This window comes from Homo sapiens, chromosome 10 (assembly GCF_000001405.40).
Source record: "Homo sapiens chromosome 10, GRCh38.p14 Primary Assembly".
Lineage (NCBI taxonomy): Eukaryota > Metazoa > Chordata > Mammalia > Primates > Hominidae > Homo > Homo sapiens.
Window position 1 is genome coordinate 68,008,217 of NC_000010.11, and position 24,851 is coordinate 68,033,067.

Genomic DNA, 24,851 nt, shown 5'->3' on the forward strand with positions numbered 1-24,851 from the left:
ATGGCCACCACTGCTAAGACTGTGCTAGATCACACCTGACAGTACTGGGTCTCACCCAAAGCATGTAGAGACTAATTCCTGTCTATTGTTGATGTTTATTCAAAGCCCAAGGGCTCTTTAGTCAGCAAGTGATAAATCCTGTCAGGCCTGGGGTCTTTTATCTTCAGGGCAGCAGCTTCCCTTCTAGTCAAAAAATTTTTTGTTGTTTTTATATGGGAGACTTGAATTTTATTACTCAAATCAGTCTCCCCAGAAATTTGAAGGCTAGGGTTTTTCAAGGATAGTTTGGCAGGCAGGAGAATGGGTGCTGCTGACCGGTTGGGGATGTAATCATATGGATGTGGAAAACGTCCTTATGTGCTGAATCCACTTCTGGGTCAAAATTTTTAAATATTTTTAATAAGCAATAGATTCAAAGAATTCAAATTCTTAAAAAATAGAAAATAATTAACACTCCTGTATATACCCAAAAGAACTGAAAGCAGGATCTCAAAGAGATACCTGTACACCTACATCCATAGCAGCATTATTCACAATAGCCAAAAGGTAGAAACAACCCAATCGTCCACTGATATATGAATAGATAAACAAAATGTGGTATAAGCATACCTCAAAGATATTTAGGGTTTGGTTCCAGACAACTGCAATAAAGCAAATATCGCAATAATGCAAGTCACACAAATTTTTGGTTTCATAGTGCACATAAAAGTATGTTTATACTAGCCTGGGCGCAGTGGTTCACTCCTGTAATCCCAGCACTTTAAGAGGCCAAGGTGGGCAGATCAAATAAGGCCAGAAGTCTGAGACCAGACTGGCCAACATGTTGAAACCCTGTCTCCAATAAAAATACTAAAAAAATTAGCCAGGTGTGGTGGTGCGCACCTGAAATCCTAGCTACTAGGGTGACTAAGCCACAAGAATCACTTGAACCCATGAGGTGAAGGTTGCAGTAAACCGAGATTGCACCGCTGCACTTCCAGCGTGGGTGACAGAGCAAGACTCTGTCTCATTAAAAAAAAAAAAGGATGTTTATACGATACTGTAGTCCATTGACAAGAGTTGGTTTTTCTTTTTTTTCTTTTATAGAGATGAGAGTTAATGTGGCCCCAGCTGGTCCCAAACTCCTGGCCTCAAGTGATTCTCTTGCCTTGGCTTTCCAAAGCACTGGGATTACAGGCATGAGCCACTGTGCCAGGCCAATATACTGTAGTCTATTAAGTGTGCAATAGCATTGTATCTTAAAAAAAAAATCCATATACCTTAATTTAAAATCACTTTATTGCTAAAAAATGCTAACGATCAATTGAGGCTTTGCAAGTCTTAAACTTTTTGTTGATGGAGAGTCTCGCCTCATTGTCAACATTGATGGCTACTGACTGATCAGGGTGGTAATTGCTGAAGGCTGGGGTAGCTGTGGCAATTTCTTAAAATAAGACAGCAACAAAGTTTGCTACACTGATTGACTCTTCTTTTCATAAAAGATTTCTCTATACCAGGAGATGCTGCATGATAGCATTTTACCCACGGAACTGCTTTCAAAAGTAGAGTCAAGCCTCTTAACCCCTGCTGCTGCTCTGTCAACTAAGTTTATGGAATATTCTAAATACTTTGTTGTCATTTCTATAATGTTCATAGCATCTTCACCAGCAGTAGGTTCCATCTCAAGAAAACACTTTCTTTGCTCATCCATAAAATATAAATGGATGAGGAGTATTTTTCTTTTTTTTCTCTCTACCTACTGTGTCCCAGTCTTCTTCATTTGAGAAAAAAGTGATACATGATATGGGGATTAAAATCAAGAGCATCACCGAACTTCACCTTCCCTCCAACCAGTTGCCCCAAACTCCCCTGCCCCCACCCTTTGTGTTCCCAATTCCTTCCTTACTGAATGAAGAACTTAATCCCAAAAGCCCTGGCACAAACTCCGGGTTCTCTTTCCCTAGCTTCCGCCCTCTCCCTGTATCCCATTCCTAGAAGGGCAGGCACCTCAGTTTGAATGCATGGGAGAGCCCAGAGTGGCGACAGAAACAGGGGGAAAGGCACTAAGGAACACAGTGCAGTGCAGTGCAATGAGGGCTCCCATAGCCTGGGGTACCAAAATGGGAGCCTGGGGCACCAAAATGGGGCCCTGAGGCCATAGGAAAGGACACTGGTGCCCCTGAGAAAGGAGACCCAGCAGCCTCAAAATCCTCTCATGGTGCATAATCACTGCTTGATTGCTTGCCCTTCTGGCGCCAATTACAGAACCACACTCGGATCACATCCTTCTAGAGCCCAAGCTGCTGGGCAATGTGACTGATCTGCTGCAGTGTGGGCTTCAGGCGCTGCAGGAACACATTCTCCAGGTTCTCAATACTGGTTCGCTTTCTCTTTCAGGCCTGCACGAGGGTTTCGGCTTTGCATATCTCCTGAATATTTTCATTGTTGTCGGCTTCCTCCACCCACTTCTGCAGCAAGGGCCGCGCCGCTTACACATGTTCTTGAAGCTAAGCTGTTGAGCCTCAAAGAGGCAGATGGTCGTTTGGCTGAACATATTCCCAAATAGAACCCCCAGGGTAAGCCCCACATCAGCCTGTGCATATCCCAGGGTGATCCTCTTCTGCTTCAGGAGCTTGGCAAATTGCTCAAGTTCTTTCTGCAGAGCTTTGAGATGTCCTGGGACTGGATGAAGGGTATTTTTTATCCTAAGATTGCAGCAATTCAGTCACATTTTCAGGCTTTAGTTCTAGTTCTCTTGTTATTTCCACCATATCTATAGTTAAGTTCTTCGAATGAAGTCTTGAGCCCCTCAGTCATCCATGAAGGTTGGAATAAAATTCTTCCAAACTCTTATTGTTGGTATTTTGACTTCCTCCCATGAATCAAAGACAGGGTCTTGCTCTGTCGCCCAGGCTGGAGTGCACTAGTATGATCATAGCTCACTGTAAACCTTCAACTCCTAAGCTCAAGCAATCCTCTTGCCTAAACCTCCCAAGTAGCATGTGCCACCACACCTGGCTTTTTAAAATTATTTTTTGTAGAGACAGTGTCTCACTACATTGCCCAGGTTGGTCTCAAACTCCTGGCTTCAAGCAATCCTCTCACTTCACAAATGTTCTTAACAGTAACTGGAATGGTGAATTCTTTGAAGGTTTTCAATTTACTTTGCCCAGAACTATCAGAGGAATCACTATATGTGGTAACTACAGCCTTACGAAATGTATTTCTTAAATAATAAAACTTGAAAGTAAAAATTACTCCTTGTTCCTACAGCAGCAGAATGGATGTTGTATTAGCAGGCATGAAAACATTAATCTCCATGTATATCTCCATCTGAGCTCTGATGTGACCAGGTGCACTGTCAATAAGCAGCAGTATTTTGAAAGAAATCTTTTTACTGAGCGGTGGGTCTCAACAGTGGGCTTAAGCCCATATTAATATATTCAGTACACCATGCTGTAAACAGATGAGCTGTCATCCAGGCTTTGTTGTTCCATTTATAGAATACAGGCAGAGTAGATTTAGCATAATTCCTGAGGGCCCTGGCATTTTCAGAATGGTAAACAAGCACTGGCTTCAACCTAAAGTCACCAGATGCATTAGACCCTAAAAGAGAGTCAGCCTGTCCTTTGAAGTTAGGCATTGACTACTTCTCTCAGCTATAAAAGAAAGTTGTAGAGGACATTTTCTTCCAATAGAAGGCTGTTTTGTCAACATTGAAAATCTGTTGTTTAGTATACCCACCTTCGTCAATTACCTCAGCTAGACATGCTAGACAACTTGCTGTAGCATATACATCAGTACTTTTACATTATGGAGATGGCTTCTTTCCTTAAACTTCACGAACTAATATTTGCTAGCTTCAAGCTTTTCTTCTGCAGCTTCCTTATCTCTCTCAGCCTTCAGAGACTTGAAGAGAGTTAGAATCTTGGTCTGGATTAGACTTTGGCTAATCCTAATGTTGTGGCTGGTGTGATTTTCTATTCGGACTACTAAAATTCTCTCCGTATCAGCAATAAGGCTGTTTTTCACTTTCTTACCATTCATGTATTCACCAGAGTAGCACTTTTAATTCCTTTAAGTTGCATTAACAACTTGGATAACTGGCACAAGAAGCCTTGCTTTCAGCCTGTCTGGGCTTTTGATATGCCTTCTTCACTAAGCATAATCCTTTCTAGCTTTTGATTTAAAGTGAGAAATGTGATTTAAAGTGAGAGATTTTCTTTTCACTTATGTACTTAGAGGCCACTGTAGGGTTATTAACTGGCCTAATTTCAACACTGTTGTGCCTCAAGGAATAGGAAGGCCCGAGGAGAGGAGAGAGATAGGACTGGCCAGCTGGTGGAGCAGTCAGAACATAAACATTTATCAATTAGGTTTGTTGTCTTATATAGGTAAGGTTCATGGCACCCCAAAACAATTACATCAATGACCACTGATCACAGATCACCATTACAGATATAGTAACAACACAGAAGTTTTGAAATACTGTTAAGAATTACCAAAATGTGACATAAAGACACAAAGTGAGCATATATGCTGTTGGAAAAATGGTGCCAACTGACTTGCTCAATGCAGTGTTGTCAAAAAACCTTCAATTTGTAAAAATTCAGTATCAAAAATTGAGTAAAGCTTATAAGCTTTAGTAATTCTCGCAATATTTCAATATTTTTCATTATTATTTTATCTTTTATGGTGATCTCATATCACTAATTTAGCGATATAAGACAATGCATGACATGATCAGTGATCTTTGATGTTACTATTGCAATTGTTTGGATGCCACAAACCACATCCATATAATAAGAACACAGGCATGCCGCATTTTATTGTGCTTTGCTTTACTGTGCTTCTCAGATACTGTGATTTTTACAAATTGAAGGTTTGGGGCAACCCTGCATAGAACAAGTCTATCAGCACCATTTTTCCAACAGCATGTGCTCATCTCTGTGTCAGCATTATTAAGCAATAAAGCATATTTATAAACTAACATATACACAGTCTTTTAAGACATAATGTCATCATTGCACACTTAGTAGACTACAATATAGTATAAATATAACTTTTATATGCACTAGGATACCAAAAATTTTGTGATTTGCTTTATTACGATATTTGCTTTATTGCACTATTTGCTTCATTGCAGTGGTCTGGAACTGAGCCCACAATATCTCCAAGGTATGCCTGAATTATATAGCTTAAAAAGGAAGGAAATTCTAACATGTGCTACAACACAGATGAACCTTGAGGACGTTATGCTTAGTGAAATAAGTGAGTCACAAAAAGAAACACTACTATATGATTCCACTTCTTTGAGGTACCTAGCCTAGTGTTAAGTCAAATTCATAAAGACATAAAGTAGAATAGCAGTTGCCAGGCACTAGGAAGAGGAGGGAATGAAGAGTTGCTGTTTAATGCATAGAGTTTTAGTATCCTCAAGATGAAAAGAGTTCTGGAGATTGGTTACATAATAACGTGAATATGCTTAATGCTACTTAAAAAATGGTTACGTCTGTAAATTTTATGTTGTGTATATTTTACCACAATTTAAAATAGAAAACAAAAAACCTCCCTCCCACTGGTATGTAGCCATCTTCTAGTTCCCATATGACCCACTCTCTGTAAGTAACTTTTACTTATCCAGAATTTCCTTATGCATTTACAAGTAAATATAAGCAAATCAAACAACCATATACATTGTTCTATATTTTGCTGTTTTCACTTAACAATGTATCTTGGAATTCTTTCGCAGAAATCTTCATGATTTAAGAGCAACATTTTAACAAGAACTTCAATATATGAAGGAAAGCTTTAATATGACAGAACTTACCAATATCTGGTAGACACTGCCCATTATAGGGGTACCAATTTCCTTTTACAGTAAAGGGGCTTTTCCTGTTGCTTGTTGAACCGGTTCCCAGCTGCCCATTACCACCAAGCCCAAAAGAGTAAATTCGTCCTGATGAAGGAACAAAAGCAGAAGTGTGCTGCCTAGAGTAAAATGATAGAAAACTTCAGACTTAATGTTACCTTCCAACAATTTACAATGACAAAAGCAGAGAAAATATCAAAAGAGGTAATTTTTCTTTTCAAAAAATTAATAAAACCAATTGTAGTTCCAAAGCTTCTGTACAAATATTCATTAACAGACTTAATCTATAGAATGAATTCTGCATCACATAGACAGGCTGCACGAGCATGGTCCAGAAAATTTCCACTAATGTTTAAATTTTAAACAGCCTGGGTCTATACTGAAATCCCTTACAATAAACGATTCAGCACCAGAGTAGCATCTACCTATGCTGTTCAAGGAAGTCCCCACTACTCCCCTTGTCAAGTTCTAGTCCAGAGCTGTGGTCTATGAAAGTCCTCCACTTGGGTATCACCGAGAAGTTTTAGGCTAAGAAATGGGAAGTAATCTAGTACCAATCAGAAGATTGTTATATACACTTATGCATGACAGAAACAATGTTTCCTTTCTTCTGAGGAAAGTAATCTCTATATGTACGCACCAAAACTCCTCTGGAGGTACTACAGTGAAAGCAAACCTAAGAAACCACAGATCTGAAGCTAAGGATGACCCACCAATCCACTCTCAGTAAACCTATCCAACTCCTCAGAAAAAGTCTCCTTAGGCAAGCAGGGAAGTATTTCATTGTGTACCCTATCCATGAGATGGTTTTACTGAGGGGACATGGCATCTCCAGGTCTCACCCTTGTTTCTATCAGGTCTTAGATCTTGTCTCTTGCCCTAAACCTCTTTGCCATTTGTGGCATATTGTTTATAAAAGTGGCTGAAATTATCCCTCTAACCATACCCATATCTTATGCAATATGACTATTACAGTTGTTCCCAGCAAGACTGGAAATCTCTTTCTCCATGTCTTAAATCCAAGTCCTAATCTATAGCTTGCTTTGGCCAGCAGAAACAACAGTGTCTCAGTTCCGAGCCTTTGCCTCACAAGTGGCTTTATACACTCTTTCCCTAACTATCTTTAGGAATTCTGCTCTACCATCGTAAGAATAAACCAAGGTTAGCAGCTAAAGGATGATCTACAATCTGGAACAGACAAACTGTCCCAGCTGAGGCCATCCTAGACTTCCAGCTCCTAGCCAGATCATCAACTGATCATCTAAGTCAGCTAAGATGAGAGCAGCCCAGTTAAGCCCGGCCAAAATTACTAAAACAAAGAACTATTAGCTAAATAATTATTTTAGGTCACTAGGTTTTGGAGTCGTTCTGTTTAGCGACATAAGCTAACTAATACATTACCCAGATTGGCAAATTCTTTCAGGGTAGCTCCAAAGTCAATTCAAACTAACACCTTTGGTTTTCAAATTTCTTTTGTTTTTGCCAGGTGGAGTTCTCTTTACAACCTGGCAAACTCACACATGCTATTTTAAAGGGGTTTTGATTCAAGAGTTTTCAAGTTAGCTAGTCTGCTAGATTACTACCCTCCCTCAGGAAGCAGCCATCTCAAAGGAATGTATTAATAGTTTGAAAATTACTGCAATACTATTTTATTAAAACTCCTCCTCACACTGGACTAATAAAGCACTGGTTCTTAACCCTGGCTGCATATTTGAATCATCTTGGGGTGAATCTAGGTAAAAATATATATTTTGGCCAGGCATGGTGGCTCAGGCCTATAATTCCAGCACTTTGGGAGACCGAGGCAGGTGGATCACTTGAGGTCAGGAGTTCGAGACCAGCATGGCAAACATGGCAAAACCCTGTCTCTATTAAAAATACAAAAATTAGCTGGGCACGGTGGCATGCGCCTGTAGTCCCAGCTACTCAGGAGGCTGAGGCAGGAGGATCACTTGAACCTGGAAGGCAGAGGTTGCAGTGAGCCAAGATTCTGCCACCACACTCCAGCCTGGGCAACAGAGCAAGACTCAGTCTCAAAAATATATGTATATATGTGTGTGTGATTATAGTATAAAGTGGGGTTCAGAGCCACTGCATGAACAGAACTACCTTAAGCTCTAGATTTGATGTAAGAGCTCGAAAGCACTTCATTATACTACTGGAATGTAAACCTTTTTCTTTTGGATCGTCTATTGATGAACTGACATTTTGGTAATCCTGACTGCTTCATTCAGGAGGTTTTTGACAATTATTGAATAAGGAAATAATAATACATATTTCTTTTTTAAAAATTTTATTATTTTTGAGATGGAGTCTCACTCTGTTGCCAGGCTGGAGTGCAGTGGCGTGATCTTGGCTCACTGCAACCTCCGCCTCCCGGATTCAAGCGAGTCTCCTGCCTCAGCCTCCCAAGTGGCTGGGACTACAGGCATGTGCCACCATGCCCAGCTAATTTTTGTATTTTTAGTAGAGATGGGGTTTCACCATGTTGGTCAGGATGGTCTTGATCTCTTGACCTTGTGATCTGCCCGCCCTGGCCTCCCAAAGTGCTGGGATTACAGGCTTGAGCCACTGCACCCGGCCCAATAAGATGTCTTATAGTACTGACTACCTGGAAGTCAAACTGATCAAAATACCAGATACCTACTTACACTTCCTGTTTAGGTTAAGTCCTTAGATCTCACTCAATAGTCGAAATTTTACCCCCGATCCAACAGTTACATGAATAAAACTGCTGAAAAGAACTGGTTTACAGAGCTAAGAATAACTATTCAAATCATGTATTACAGAGCTAAGAATAACCATTCAAATCATGTACATTTTGGCTACTAAGAATTACAAAACTGGATAACATTAAATCATTTGTGATACTTCACAAAGGACTAATAGAGTATGTCACCCAAAATGATTTAAATTCACCACCCTGTAGTATTAAGCATGCATATTCCCATCATAGCCTGATGGTGGTTGGGCTGTATATTATATTCCCCATACCTTAACTTTAGGTTTGGCCATATAGTTTGCTTTTGGTCAACGAGATTTCAGTGAATGTGATGCAAGCAGAAGGCTTGAAATGGAATGTACAGTTGAGTTTGCCTTCTTGTGTATTTGTCTCCATCAGAAGAATACCCAGAGGCAGCCCACTGCTCCTCTGGTATAGTCCCAAGAACGAGATATGTAACAAAGCCACCCTAGCTGAAACACAGCCTGAGCAAAGTCACCCCAGTGAATAGGCAGCCTGAAACAGAACTGCCCCAGTCAATCTCTAGCCTAAATAAAAGCTGCTCCAGATAGCCAAAGGCCTGGCTTTACTGAACCACAGAGAAACAAATAAACATTTACTATTATATGTCACTGACATGTTGTTTGTGCACAAGAGACCAATACAGACATTATAAATTTTATGTAAATAAGTTTATTTATTTATTTTTTTGAGACAGAGTTTTCGCTCTGTTGCCCAGGCTGGAGTGCAGTGGTGCAATCTCAGCTCACTGCAACCTCTGCCTCCTGGGATCAAGTGATTCTCCTGTCTCATCAGCCTCCCCAGAAGCTGGGATTACAGGTGCATGCCACCACACCTAGCTAATTTTTGTATTTTTAGTAGAGATGGGTTTTTTTGCCATGTTGGCCAGGCTGGTCATGAACCCCTGACCTCAGGTGATCAGTCTGCCTCGGCCTCCCAAAGTGCTGGGATTACAGGCATGAGCCACCACGCCCGGCCTATGTCAATAAGTCTAAAATTAGGCAAAATGAAAAAATTATTAGAAAAAAATTAACATTCACATAACTGACTCAAGAAATAATAAAAGCTATCTCATAGCCACTAAAGAAATTGAAGAATGTTTTTTAAATTCCAAAAAATAAAATGCCAGGCACAAATGGTTTTAATGACAAGTTGTGCCAACATTTCAAGCTGTTCTATTTCCAAAAATTAGAAAACAAAGGTACATTCCTCAATGTTATTTTATCAGACTAGAAAACCTTCATAATAAAACCTGGTGAAAAGAATAATAAGAAAAAAATTATAGATCAAGTTCACTGATAAACAGAAATATAAGTAAGAGTCAACAGAATATTCACAAATCAAACCCAGCACCAAACAAAAAGGATAATACTTGACCAAACTGAAGTTATTCCAGAAACACAAAGCTGTTAACTAGAAAAAAAAAATCCATCAATATGCCATGTTAACAGATTAAAGGAAAAAAAAATCATAAATCATTTCAATAAATACAGAAAAAACAACATTAAAAACTTAACATCCATTCACAATAAAAAAAACTAGGAATTAAAGGGAAATTACTTAGTCTGATAGAGGTTATCTATAAAAATCTTAACAGCAAACATGATACTTAACTATGAAATACTGAAAGTTTTCCCACAGAAAGGAAACATTATGTTACAGTAAACATTATAATGGTGTCCTAAACAGCACATTAAAACAATTATATAAACACGTTAAGTATAAATAATAGAAATAACAAAACTGAATTGACTCACAGATGGTATGACTACGTACATGAGTAAGTTATTAATAAGAGTTTAGCAAGGTGGTTGTATTTAAAATCAATATGTAAATATCAACTATTTCTACATGCCAGTGATTCCTCAGAAAGTGGAAATAAAAATATAATACCATTAAAGACGCACCTAGGAATGGAACTACGAAGAGATATGCATGACCTCTATGATGAAAATTTTAAAACATTTTATTATAAGACATTAAAGAAGTCTGGATGTTGATTATTAGAAAAGTTAATATTACAAAGATAACAACTTTTCCCCAAATTAACCTAGAGATTCAATGCACTACCAATCAAAACCCCACAAGGCTTTTTTTTTTTTTTTTTTTTGAGAGAACTTCACAACCTATGCTAAAATTTATATGAAAGTAATAAAGGTCATCATCAGCCAAAGCATTCTTTCTTTTTTTTTTTTTTTTTTTTGAGATGGAGTTTCACTCTTGTTGCCCAGGCTGGAGTGCAATGGTGCGATCTCGGCTCACTGCAACCTCCGCCTCCTGGGTTCAAGCAATTCTCCTGCCTCAGCCTCCCAAGTAGCTGGGATTACAGGCATGTGCCACCACGCCCGACTAATTTTGTATTTTTAGTAGAGACAGGGTTTCACCATGTTGGTCAGGCTGGTCTCAAACTCCCGACCTCAGGTGATCCACCCGCCTCGGCCTCCCAAAGTGCTGAGATTACAGGCGTGAGCCACTGCGCCCGGTCCAGCCAAAGCATTCTTAAAGAACAGAAGAATAACAAGGAGTCACTTTACCCCAAATAGAAGAAGTTATTATGGTGTCTATATAGTGTTTAGTGGCACAGGGGCAGGCATATAGATTGAAAAATTAGAGATCACAGAAAGAGATCCATGTACATACAACAGCTTATGGCAACAGTGACACCATACAGTAGGAGGGTGAAGAATTTTCAAAAATGGAGCTAGACAGGGGGATTCTTGGAAAATCGTGGAATAAGAAGCACCGAGAATCTGTTTCCCACCTAGACAACAATTACACTGACAGAATCTGTCTGAGAGAACCATTCTGCAACTCTGGAGTCTATGCACGGTTTGTTATTTCCAAGAGAAGAGTTGGATGGCAAATTCTGGTTAATTTCAACTTCGGATCTTAGCATGGTAGCAGTTACCCACTCCTTACTCCTGTGTAATGCAGCCATGAACAGCTTCCAGGAGCAGCCTGTATGCAACTTGTAGAAGCCAGGGTGGGCAATAACGACTTTGTCTGTTTTAGGAACTGGTGCCCTGATCAATGATTGGTGCTTCTGATCACCAAGGTGCAGAAAGGCAGGCAATCACTGTTGTATACTCTCCCATTCTGGCTAAAGAGACTTCCAAGGAATTCAAAGGGCTGATGCCTTTCTCTTTTTTTCTTCTACTCTCCTTCCACCCCCACCTTTCATTTTTTCCTTGTTTCTTTGGGGAGCCAGGCATTTAAGGTCTACAACATTAAAAAGCAACCACATTTATGGGTGAATTTAGAATGTCACTGTGCATTAGCAGGGAAAGGTATAGGCTAAGAAAAGACCTCATTTTTATACCTCAGGGTGACTCCTGACACAGATAAAACCTACAATGATCAAAAACCAAAAATCAGCAAACTCTGGCAAAGGGGGAGAATCTGATTTCCAGTTACCATATTATTAAATGTCCAGTTTTCAAAAAACATCACAAGACATACAAAGTAGTAGGAAAGGGTGGCCCATTCAAAGAAAATATAAGCCAACAATAGAAACTATCCCTGAGAAAGGTCAAATGGCAGACCTAAAAGACAAAGACTAAATCAAACATCCTAAAGATGCTCAAAGAACTAGAGTAAGACGTGTAAAAAGAAAAAAAAAATGTATGAACAAAACGGAAATATCAATCAAAAAGAAAAACTAAAAAAAAAGTTTGGGCCGGGCGCGGTGGCTCACGCCTGTAATCCCAGCACTTTGGGAGGCCGAGGCGGGCAGATCACGAGGTCAGGAGATCGAGACCACCCCGGCTAAAAAAACGGTGAAACCCCGTCTCTACTAAAAATACAAAAAATTAGCCGGGCGTAGTGGCGGGCGCCTGTAGTCCCAGCTACTTGGGAGGCTGAGGCAGGAGAATGGCGTGAACCCGGGAGGCGGAGCTTGCAATGAGCTGAGATCGCGCCACTGCACTCCAGCCTGGGCGACAGAGCGAGACTCCGTCTCAAAAAAAAAAAAAAAAAGTTTGGAGTTGGAAAGTACAATACCTGAAATAAAAAATACACTAGAGAGATTTGAAGGCAGATTTCAGCAAGCAGAAGAAAAATCAGCAAACGTAAAGATAGGACAGTTGCAATTATTGAGTCTGTGGAACAGAAAATCTTAAAAAAAGTGCAGAGAGCCTAGGGGAACCATAGGATACCATTAAGCAGACCAACATAAGCACTGTAGAATTCTCAGAAGAATAGAGCAAGAGAGAGACTATTTGAAGAAGTAATAGCCAAAAACTCCCAAATATGGGGAAAGACATGAATCTAAACATCCATAAGCCCCAATGAATTCTACGCAGGATAAACTCAGAGACCAGAGACACACAGTTCAATCAAAATGCTGAAAGACAAAGAATCTTGAAAGCAGCATGAAAGAAGCAGGTTGTCATACACAAAGGATTCTCAATAAAATACTTAAGAACTGAATTCAGCAGCACACTAAAAGGGTTACATACTATGACCACGACCAAGTGAGAGTTATTCCTAGAATGCAAACCTGGTTCAACATATGAAAATTAATATATGTAATCAATGTAATATATCAAATTAACAGATTGAAGGAGGAAAAGACACACACAATCATCTGAATTGATGCAGAAAAAGCACTTGCTTTTCCTGTAAGATCAGGAATAAGGATGCCTGCTTTCACCACTTCTATTCAACATAATCTTGGAAGTTCTAGCCAGAGCAATTTTGCAAGAATAAGAAATAAAATGCTGCGTGCAGTGGCTCATGCCTGTAATCCCAGCACTTTGGGAGGCCAAGGTGGGCAGATCACCAGTGGTCAGGAGTTCAAGACCAGCCTGACCAACATGTAGAAACCCCATCTCTACTAAAAATACAAAATTAGTCGGGTGTGGTGGCACATGCCTGTAATCCCAGCTACTTGGGAGGCTGAGGCAGGAGAATCGCCTGAACCCAGGAGGCAGAGGTTGCGGTGAGCCGAGATCACGCCATTGCACTCCAGCCTGGGCAACAAGAGCAAAACTCCACCTCAAATAAATAAATAAATAAAAGGCATTCATTCAAATTGGAAAGAAAAAAAAAATCTCTGTATGCAGATGATATGATCATATATGTAGAACACACTAAAGATTCCACACAAAAATTGTTAAAACTAATAAACTTTGCAAAGCAGGAGGATACAAAATCTACACACAAAAATTAGCTGAATTTCTATACATTAACAATGAACAATTTGGAAGGAAATAAAATTTTATTTAAAACCTATCATAAAGAATAAAATTCTTAGGAATTAACAAGAAGGCAAAAGATTTGTAAAATAAAACTAAAAAATACTGGTGGAAAGACATTAGAGACAAATAAATGGAAAGAAACAGCATGGTCATGGACTGGAAGACAAATTGTTAAGATGTCAATGCTACCCAAAAGAATGTACAGACTCGGCCAGGTGTGGGGGCTCACGCCTGTAATCCCAACACTTTGGGAGGCCGAGGTGGGCGGATCAACTGAGGTCGGGAGTTCGAGACCAGCCTGACCAACATGGAGAAACCCCATCTCTACTAAAAACACAAAATTAGTCGGGCAAGGTGGCGCATGCCTGTAATCCCAGTCACTTGGGAAACTGAGGCAGGAGAATCGCTTGGTCCCGGGAGGCAGAGGTTGCAGTGAGCCAAGATCATGCCATTGCATTCCAGCCTGAGCAACAAGAGCAAAACTCCATCTCAAAATAAATAAATAAATAAATAAATAAATAAATAAATAAATAAAATTCAAATAGATCAAAGACCTAAATGTAAAAGGTAAAACTATAAAACTCTAAGAAGCAAACAGGGAAATGCTTCATGACATTGGATTTGGCAATGATTTCTTAGATATGACACCAAATGCATAGCCAACAAAAGAAAAAATAAACAAACTGGACTTTATACAATTTTAAAGCTTCATGCATCAAAAGACACTATCTATAGAATACAACCCACAGAATGAAAGAAAATATCTGCAAATATCTGATAAGGGATTAGTATCTAGAATATATAGAGAACTCTGAAAACTCAACAACAACAAAACAGCCAGATTCAAAAATGGGAAAAACACTTTAATTGACATTTCTCCTAAAGATGTACAAATGGTCAACAAGTATATAAAAATATGCTCAGCTCACTAATCATTGGGAAAATGCAAATCAAAACCACAGGAGATAACATGTTACACGTATTAAAATAGGTATTATAAAAAAAAAAAGAAAAAGGCAAAATGAGAAAATAACAGTGTTGGTGAGGATGTAGAGAAACTGAAACCCTGTACACTTTTGGTGGAAATATAAAACAGGGCAGTTACTATGAGAAACAGTATGGCAGTTCCTACAAAAATTAAAAACAGAATTGCCATATGAACCACCAATTCCACTTCTGGGTATATGCCCAAAAGAACTGAAAGTGGGGTCCTGAAGGGATGTTTTTATATTCATGTTCATAGCAACAATATTCACAATAAGATAAAACACAAAAGTAACCCAAGTGTCCATCAAAAGATGAATGCACAAGCAAAATTAGCATATACACACAATGGAATGCTGTTCAGCCTTTTAAAGGGAGGAAATTCTGACATATATAGAAGGAAATTCTACAACATGGGTGAACCTTGATGACACTACGCTGAGTGAGATAAGTCAGTCACCAAAAGACAAACACTGTAAGAGTCTACCTATATGAGATACCTACAGGAGTTAAATTCACAGAGACAGGAAGTAGAATGGTGGTTGCCACAAGAGAGTATGGAGAATAGGGAGTCATTGTTTAATGGGTATAGAGCTTCAGTTTTGCAAGATAAAAAGAATTCTAGAGATGAATGGTGATGATGGTTTCACAACAATATTAATGTACTTAATACCATGGACTGTATACTTAAAAATAGTTAAGGTGGTAAATTTTGTTGTATGTATTTCCCACAAAAACTTTTAATGGTGCTAGGGTAATTGACTATTTATATTTTTAAAAAGTTGATTCCTTACTTGAACATTATACTGTCCTCCACAAAATAAATCAACTTCAGATAACTTACAGACCTCCATGTAAAAGGCAACACTATGTTTTTGAAGATAACAGAGATGATTACTTTTATGCCTTCAGGTAGGAAAATATTTCTTAGAAAATAAATGGCACTATTAAGTAAAATATTAATAAATTCATCTACATTAATATCTAAAACTTCTGTTCATTGAAAGACAACAGAATGAAAATGACAAGGTAAGGCAAAACATGGAAAGACATCTGTAAAACATATGCCCAATAAAGAACTTTTATCCCTGTATTGAGAAACATTATGAACTTGTATCTACACTATATAAATAACTACTATGAATCAATTTTTATATCCTGAGGAAATGTAAGTGGCCAATAAACATATGAAAAGGTACTCAAGTAAGTCATGGAAATGTATATTCAAATTATGAAATAACAATAAATATCCAAGAAATTAGCAAAAAGTCTGACAATACTAACTGGTGATAAGTACAAGAGCATCAGGAATTCTCATACACTGCTAATGGGAATACAAACTGGTAAAACCACATGGGAAATATGGTTTAACCTACAAAATTCAAATTAAGTGTCCTCTATAACCCAGTAATTCCATTCTGGGTATATATGAAGGTTAACATATACCATATAATAAAAGTGCAAAGCAACATTATTCATAATTGCCAAAACTGGCAACATGCAAATGTCCATCAGCAATAGAATGAGTATATTATATATGTATAAAATTGAATAAAAAACATTAATGAGGCCTAATGATGGAGAACCATAACTACATAAAAATCATAAAAGTCTGATGTTAAGAGGAAAAAAAGAATCACCAAAGAATACTTACAGTGTGATTACATGCATTTGAAGCTAATAGTTGATAAAACTAAACTATTGTATAGCTATACATACAAGGTAGAAAAACATTAAGCAAGGTGATCAAAATTAAGTTATGTGGTCAAAAAAGGTACATTTTGCTACTTGGGAGTCTGCTCAATTTAATTCCCCCAAAGATGAAGCTCAACTCAAAGACTCTTCTATTTATTCCCAAGACCTAAGAATCAACAGATGAAGCTCAATGTCAAAGACTCTTCTGTTTACTCCCAAGAACTCAGAATAAGGAGAATTAGGAGATTATTGGTTTAATTATGCCAATCAAACTTTCATCACATTAATTCTGTCTTAATTAACTGGTCGATCTCTTCACCCTTTAAGGAAAAAAGGTAAGCCTGGGCAACATAATGAGACCTTGTTGCTACTAAAAATTAAAAAAATAAAATTAGCTGGGCATGGTAGTGCATGCCTGCAGTCCCAGCTACTCAAAAGCCTGAGGCAAGAGGATCACTTGAGCCCAGGAGATTGAGGCTGCAATAAGCCATAATTGTGGTACTCCAGACTGGGTGACAGAGCAAGACTCTATCACCCCAAAAAGGAAAGAAAAGAAAAGAAAAAAAGGTGGAAAAGAGAAAGAAAGAAGCCTTTCGAGTGTGATATCAACTACAATAAATATAATATTACATATACACTATTAACATCTTGCCTCAGCTAAATCTGTTCAAGTAAAAATAAATAAAATAACAGTAAAAAAGATGTTTCTCCTGTTACTATGACTCCTCAGTGGCAAAATAGGTATTTGGGGGCAGAATGTGTTTCCTCAGATTATTAGGATCTCTGAAACAATTCAATAAGCAATCCCTAAACAACTGCAGTTTAGAGACCAAAATGCTCTTTTACATAACACCTTACCGTCCACAAGCAATCTCAGTGACAATGCTTCCCATAAGTTCAAAAACTTTCCTTGGGTTTATTTCATGACTGGTAGAATTATGGCCCAACTGACCATACCCTCCAGCTCCAAAAGTAAACACTCCACCTTCCTAAAAAAAGACAAAACCCCTTATCATTAGAAGGCATGATAAAAGAAAATAACTGATCTCCAGAAAAATAAGTCCAAATCTTTAATATAAACTCAGTTTTTTCTCTTCTAAGAACTGTCTTCACAATTTAACAGACAGATGGCTCTTTCAAAGTAAAATGTCATAAAACTATGAGAATTCCAGGTAATGATGTTTTCACCGTTATAAAATATTTAGACACTGAAGAGATACAAATAATTATTTATTTGCATTGCCTTTCATTATCATTATACTGTCTTGCTGAATTCCACATACATATATATAATTTCACGAAACCTAAAAACGGTATCATCTTCACTTTTCAAGGTAGTTACTGCCTTACATAAATGCGCTGCAAAAAGAGTACATGTAACCAGAGTGCATAAATAGAGCAATTTTTATTTACTTATTAATTTTTTCAGACAGGGTCTTGCTCTATCACCCAGGCTTGAGTGCCGTGGCATGATCATGGCTCACTGCAGCCTCAACCTCGTGGGCTCAGGTGATCCTCCCACCTCAGCCTCCTAAGTAGCTGGGAGTGCAGGCATGCACCACCACATCTGGCTAATTTTTTACTTTTTTGTAGAGATGGGGTTTTCCTGTATTGCCCAGGCTGGTCTCGAACTCCTGGGCTCAAGCAATCCTCTTGCCTTGGCTTCCCGAAGTGCTGGGATTACAGGCATGAGCCACCATGCATGGCCTTATAGAAATTTTTAGCATACAGCTGCTATAATATACAGATGTTTTTAAAAAAAACTCCCTATAAAAACATATAACTGAAGCAGGTGGATCACTTGAGCTCAAGAGTTTGAGACTAGCCTGGCCAACATGGTGAAACTCTGTCTCTACTTAAAACACAAAAATTAGGGCCAGATGTGGTGGCTCACGCCTGTAATCCCAGCACTTTGGGAGGCCGAGGCAGGTGGATCACGAGGTCAGGAGATCGAGACCATCCTGGCTAAAAAGGTGAAACCCTGTCACTACTAAAAATGCAAAAAAATAGCCAGGCATGGTGGCACAGACCTGGAGTCCCAGCTACTTGGGAGGCTGAGGCAGGAGAATTGCCTGAACCCGGGAGGCAGAGGTTGCAGTGAGCCGAGATCACGCCACTGCACTCCAGCCTGGGCGACAGAAAGACTCCGTCTCAAAAAAAAAAAATTAGTTAGGCATGGTAGTGGGTGCCTGTAGTTCCATCTACTTTGGACGCTGAGGCAGAATCGCTTGAACCCAGGAGGCACAGCTTGCCATGGGCCGAGATCATACCACTGCACTCCAACCTGGGCAACAAAGCGAGACTCTGTCACAAAACAAACAAACAAAAAAACATATAATATATAACTAATTAAATAACTAAATTATAACTAAATTAGAAGTTCTGTATTGGAAAAAATCTGTGATAACACAATCACAATTAGTATTCTTCAGTTCAACTGCTTTTCTTCATAACTGTAGCTATATATGCAACTTTATATCCTGCTTTCATCATTTAATAGCGTTACTACATACTGTTATATGAGAACATTCATTTTTCTTTTTTTATCACAGAAAATTTCAAGCAAATACACAAGGTAAAGAGAAAATATAGTAAATCACCATATAACCATCACTCAGTTTCAATAACTGGCAAAAGGTTGGTTATTTTGTTTCACTGGTGTCTCCCTTTCCCTTTTGGGGGTATTTTCAAACAAAACAAAAAGAACTTGAGTACTTTAAAGCAAATTGTGGTCATCAAATCATTTCACCCACAAATGTGTATCTTCAACAGCATATATCTGTAACCGACAAAAGTATATAACCACCATACTATACCACGTTCACAAAATCAATACTAATTTCTTAATATCAGCTAATAACTAGGCCATGTTTAAATCTTCCTGATTATTTTATTGCATCATGTCACAAAGCATATGTCTGCTTTGTTAGTGAAGTTAAAAATAACTAAGTCGGGTGGGGCACGGTGGCTCACGCCTATAATCCCAGCACTTTGGGAGGCTGAGGCGGGTGGATCATTTGAGGACAGGAGATCAAGGCCATCCTGGCCAACATGCTGACACTTCGTCTCTACTAAAAATACAAAAATTAGCTGGGCGTAGTGGTGTGTGCCTGTAATCCCAGCTACTCGGGAGGCTGAGGCAGGAGAATCACTTGAATCCAGGAGATGGAAGCCTGAAGTGAGCCAAGATCACACCACTGCACTCCAGCCTGGGCAACACAGTGAGACTCCATCTCAAAAAGAAAAAAATTATATATATATATCACATATTTTTATTATATATATATTTATTATATTTTTAATTATATATATATATATATAATAAAAATAAGTCAAAGTGTGTCAGCCTGATACATCCCCATTAGGTTTAATGGTCTTTGCCTAGATCCATTATTTCATCAGGGAGTGTAAAATGGTGATTTTTCTAGTTGCATTATTTTTCCTAGCGTTATGAGCTGGAATTCTTCTATAAATAACTTAACTCATTAACTATTAAATTACCTAAAATACAATTTGCAAATGAAAGGCAGAATACTTGATTCTTTCCCATTATTGACCAGTTAAAAAAAAAAAAATGAGTGTTGTCCTAGCAACTTCCAAAGGTAAGCAATAAGTTTTGCTTATATTGATTTGCAAGAAGAGAAGATCACTACAAAAATTCATGGATTTTTTTATAGATCTGATGTTTTCCATTTTTTGCAGTCATTATTTCTTCTCGATATCCAGTGAAAGCTCCTTCAAGTTGTTCTTCTGAGAGCACCGTAGTAATCTTTGCTTTTTTGTAACACAAAATGCCCAAAGGTATTCTTATACATATTTTTTGCCCTAGACATGGGATCAGACTCTTCTCTAAGAAGCCCTGGTTCCTTTTAGTGGAGAATCTACAACAATCAAGGGATTATCATTGTGTCCAGATTATACATGGTTCATCACTTCTAGGACCTTTCACTCGTTATGGCAAAACAAAAACAAAAACAAAACAAAAAGCATATTCTTGGAGAAAAATAAATGAGTTCATACTAACACTTGCGATTCAAAGTAAAGATCACAAGGTTTTAATTCCTATAGTTTTAGATCTATCTCTTTTCTCTTAAGCTGAAAATCATAGTTTATAATACAGTAAAATAACTACTTCTTTGCTTTCTCCTATTTATATGTAATATATTGGAATTTATTTGCTATTAGCAAATTTACTTCTAGCAGTAAGACTACAGAATGCACACTTGTAATTCCAGCATTTTGGGGGGCTGAGGTGGGAGGCTCGCTTAAAACCAGGAGTACCAGACCAGCCTAGGCAATAAAGCGAGACACCATCTCTACAAAAAATAAAAAATAAAAAAATTAGCCAGGCACAGTGGCGCCCGTAGCTCCAGCTACTCAGGAGACTGAGGTGGGAGGACTGCTTAAGCCCAAGAATTCGGTCATAGCTTCAGTGCACTATGACTGTGCCACTGCACTCCAACTTGAGCAAGAGTGAGACCCCCATCTCAGAAAAAAAAAAGTTACAGAATGCAGTTTAAGGGCCAGGCGCAGTGGCTCACGCCTATAATCCTAGCATTTTGGGAGGCCAAGGCAGATGGATTTCTTGAGGTCAGGAGTTCAAGACCAGCCTGGCTAACATGGTGAAACCCCATCTCTACTAAAAATACAGAAAATTAGCCAGGTGTGGTGATGCATGCCTGTAGTCCCAGGTACTCAGGAGGCTGAGGCAGGAGAATCACTTGAACCCAAGAGGTGGACGTTACAGTGGGCCGAGATCGCACCACTGTACTCCAGACTGGGTGACAGAACAAGACTCCATCTCAAAAAAAAAAGAAAAAGAATGCAATTTAAGATTTCTTTGTGGATTTAGTTTATCCTTAGTGTATTTCCCCCTAGTGATATACAGCAAAATGCTGTATTTTAAAATCACCTAAAATAATTATTTCTGGTGTAGTTGTGCCACTAACTTGTTAGTTTTCAATTTTTAAGGACGAATATTTATATAATTTTTATATATTATATATATTTTTATTTATATAATTTACATATAATTTTTACATATATATATAACACTTTGTTTTTTTTTTTTGAGACAGAGTCTCGCTGTCGACCAGGCTGGAGTACAGTGGCACAGCCTCAGCTCACTGCAACCTCCACCTCCCAGGTTCAAGCGATTCTCCTGCCTCAGCCTCCCGACTACCTGGGATTACAGGCGCCTGCCACCACGCCCGGCTAATTTTTTGTATTTTTAGTAGAGACAGAGTTTCACCACGTTGGCCAGGATGGTCTCGAACTCCTGACCTCGTGATCTGCCTGCCTTGGCCTCCCAAAGCACTGGGATTACAGGTGTGAGCCACTGTGCCCAGCCATAATTTTGCTTTTTAATCACATGTAACAGTTTCTAGATTCCAAAGTCAAAAATTGTAAGGCAAGGCACATTTGTTCTGGCTATTAATTTTAAATTTACTGTATTTTTAAAAACATATAAGGCCGGGTGCAGGATTACACACCTGTAATCCCAGCATTCTGGGAGGCAGAGGCGGGCAGATCACTTGAGGTCAGGAGTTCAAGACCACCCTGGCCAACAGGGTGAAACCCCATCTCTACAAAAAAATACAAAAAATAGCCGGGTGTGATCGTGCATGCCTATAATCCCAGCTACTTGGGAGGCTGAGGCATGAGAATCACTTGAACCTGGGAGGCAGAGGTTGCAGTGAGCCAAGATCACACCACTGTACTCCAGCCTGGGTGACAGAGTGAGACCGTGTCCAAAAACAAAAACAAAAACAAACAAATATACATGGCATATGATATATGTTCATATTTTGGTCCCTTTCTTACAGAAAGCTGTTCCATACACCTTGCTCTTTTCACTTAGCAATATATCCTAGAAATCATTCCACAGCATAAATACCTCATTCTGTTTTACACTTCACTGTACTTCATTACAGGGATGTACCACAATTTATTTAACTCATGGACATTTGGATTTCTTCTAGTCTTTTGCCATTAAAAGGTCACAGTAAATGGTCTTGTGCACACACAATTTCAAATCTTTGGGGTAGATTCCTAAAAGTGGGACTGCTACATCAAAATGTGTATTTGTATGTGATTTACAGAATACATCTGCAAATAAACTTGAAAAAAATGTGACATCTTTATGGAAGTATCCTCATATCTATAAACATGGTATGTCTTTCCATTTATTCTGTTTTTAAAAGTTGGTTTTAAAATCTTTCCTAATGCAGTTTTCCTAAGGTAGGTTTTGTACAGAAAACTGCTTCATAAAGCAATCTTAATCTATTTACTATTTCCAAGAAATTCTTCCAGAAAAGCAAGACATATGGATATGGAACAGGTATTTTAACTTAAATAAAGGGAAAATAAAATATTTTACTTTGGGGATATTAACAACTATCTAATTTTGTTAAAAATAATGTACACCCAAAATTCCAATAAACAAATATCACTAGCTACTATCTTCTGAGAGAAGAATACAAAAGATTAAGAGAATTAGCATTTCTTAAAACTAAATAGACATAAAAAGTTACTTATCCTAGAACATTAGGATGAATGGTTATCTGAAAGGCTGAATTTGAAAAGCATTAACATTGTTAGTCTTTCTGCCATAAAATTAGTTTTTGGAATGACACCACACATGATATTTTTTATATTTTGATAAATTTCTTCCAAATACCAATAACGAAAAAGGACGAGTAAAATTTAAGACTCGCCAACAGGAATAAATAAGACTTCAGTGATTACATTTGTTATCTGAATGCCAAAATCAATAAAATATGATATTAGGTTGGTGCAAAATTAATTGCAGTTTTTACCATTAATGGCAAAAAAATGAAATTACTTTTGCGCCAACCTAATAATAAGATTGGCAGGTATAATAATCCTTCCTTACTAAAAGGCAAGTACTACAAAATACTTTAAAATTAACTTTCATAATTGGTCATTATATTTTTAAAAGTGCCTTGAGTTCACTATATTTGACAATAACGAAGAATAATTATTGTCCTGCTAAAATTCCCAAGTAGAAATATAATGTAGAATTTTAAAGCCTGATTAGAAGTTAATGCCTCTTTTTTTTTGAAACGAGGTCTCACTCTTTGTCTCCCAGGCTGCAGTGCAGTGGTGTGATCTCAACTCACTGCAAACTCCGCCTCCTGGGTTCAACTGATTCTCCTGCCTCAGCCTCCGGAGTAGCTGGGGATAGGTGCCTGCCGCCATGCCCAGCTAACTTTCGTATTTTTAGAAGAGACAGAGTTTCACCAAGTTGGCCAGGCTGGTCTTGAAGTCCTGACCACAGGTGATCCACCTGCCTCAGCCTCCCAAAGTGCTGGGATTACAGGCATGAGCCTCTGTGCCCGGACGTTAATGTCTTTTTACCAATTTTATATACTATGTAAGACCAAAAAAGATAAAGAAATTTAACCAGTTTCTAATTTGACCAATGAAAAACTTTACATTAACATGACTGCAATAAATAATTATCTGGTAAAGGTTAACTGAATGCTTTCATTTTCATCTAACTTCTAGTCACTCAAGAACTAAACAGTACTGATACTCAATTGGCACATACCCAAGACAGTGAGAGGTCAGAGTTAAAGCCATTGATAAGACTGTGATCACTGTAACTGCTTGCACAATACTTGGCCTATGAATAACAGAGAAATTCATCTCCTCTATTGCTTGTATGAAGTATTTATAAGCCAAATGGAAACTACATTCAAATTAGGCTGAGCTACACGATATAAATGGGTTTGATGCATATATCATGGCAAGCTTAATGAACTAAAACGGAATAATTTTATTCAAAGTATGACCTTAAGCAGTATTTCATATAAAGCTGAGAAATTCAGCAATATACTATCATCACATATAATAGTATATCAGAATTCACATTTAATAACATAAAACAACATTGAAAAATAAGGTAAATTTTTTTCAAGAATAATCTAAGTCTTTTTTCCCAGATAAATTATTTTTGAAATACCAATAACACTCAAGTTAAAACTTGAGAAAATACCATGAGAACATTCATTAATTATGAAAGAACTATGATGAGTAATAATAAAGAAGTTTTAGAAGTACAATACCTTGGTTAGAGCAGCAGTATGATCTTCTCCACAACAAATATAAACTATTTTCTGAGATCTTAGTGACTTTAGTAAATTAGGAACATACCTATCTGAAAATTCCAACAAGAGATGTTAATAGTATTTTAAAAATCAAAACTCATCTAGATGTGTTTCCTCTACAGCTTGCCAAGCTCAGTAGATAGTTGTGACTAAATAATTTTAACTATGATTCGATGATTTTGTAGTACAAGCTTACTAAGTCAGGTTCCCAGGCCTATCCATACTATTGTGATAAAGGAGGGACTTAA

General features: G+C 38.1%; 1 protein-coding gene and 1 pseudogene across 24 annotated transcripts in view; both read right to left on the minus strand.

The window, feature by feature from the left end:
* Positions 1-24,851, minus strand: part of HERC4 (HECT and RLD domain containing E3 ubiquitin protein ligase 4) — a 153,379-nt gene that overhangs the window by 86,312 nt on the left and 42,216 nt on the right. For 22 of the 23 annotated variants that reach the window (XM_047424999.1, XM_017016041.3, NM_015601.4 and 19 more), the window contains 3 exons: positions 24,562-24,653; positions 17,330-17,460; positions 5,810-5,970 (listed from right to left, as the gene is read on the minus strand). In XM_047424999.1, coding sequence (XP_047280955.1) covers positions 5,810-5,970; positions 17,330-17,460; positions 24,562-24,653 — 384 coding nt within the window. The remainder of the gene's footprint in view (positions 1-5,809; positions 5,971-17,329; positions 17,461-24,561; positions 24,654-24,851) is intronic. The other variant, NM_001278186.2, reaches the window with a different exon arrangement.
* POU5F1P5 (POU class 5 homeobox 1 pseudogene 5) lies at positions 1,731-2,667 on the minus strand (annotated as a pseudogene). The gene has a single exon (NR_131184.1). The product of NR_131184.1 is annotated as a POU class 5 homeobox 1 pseudogene 5 (transcript).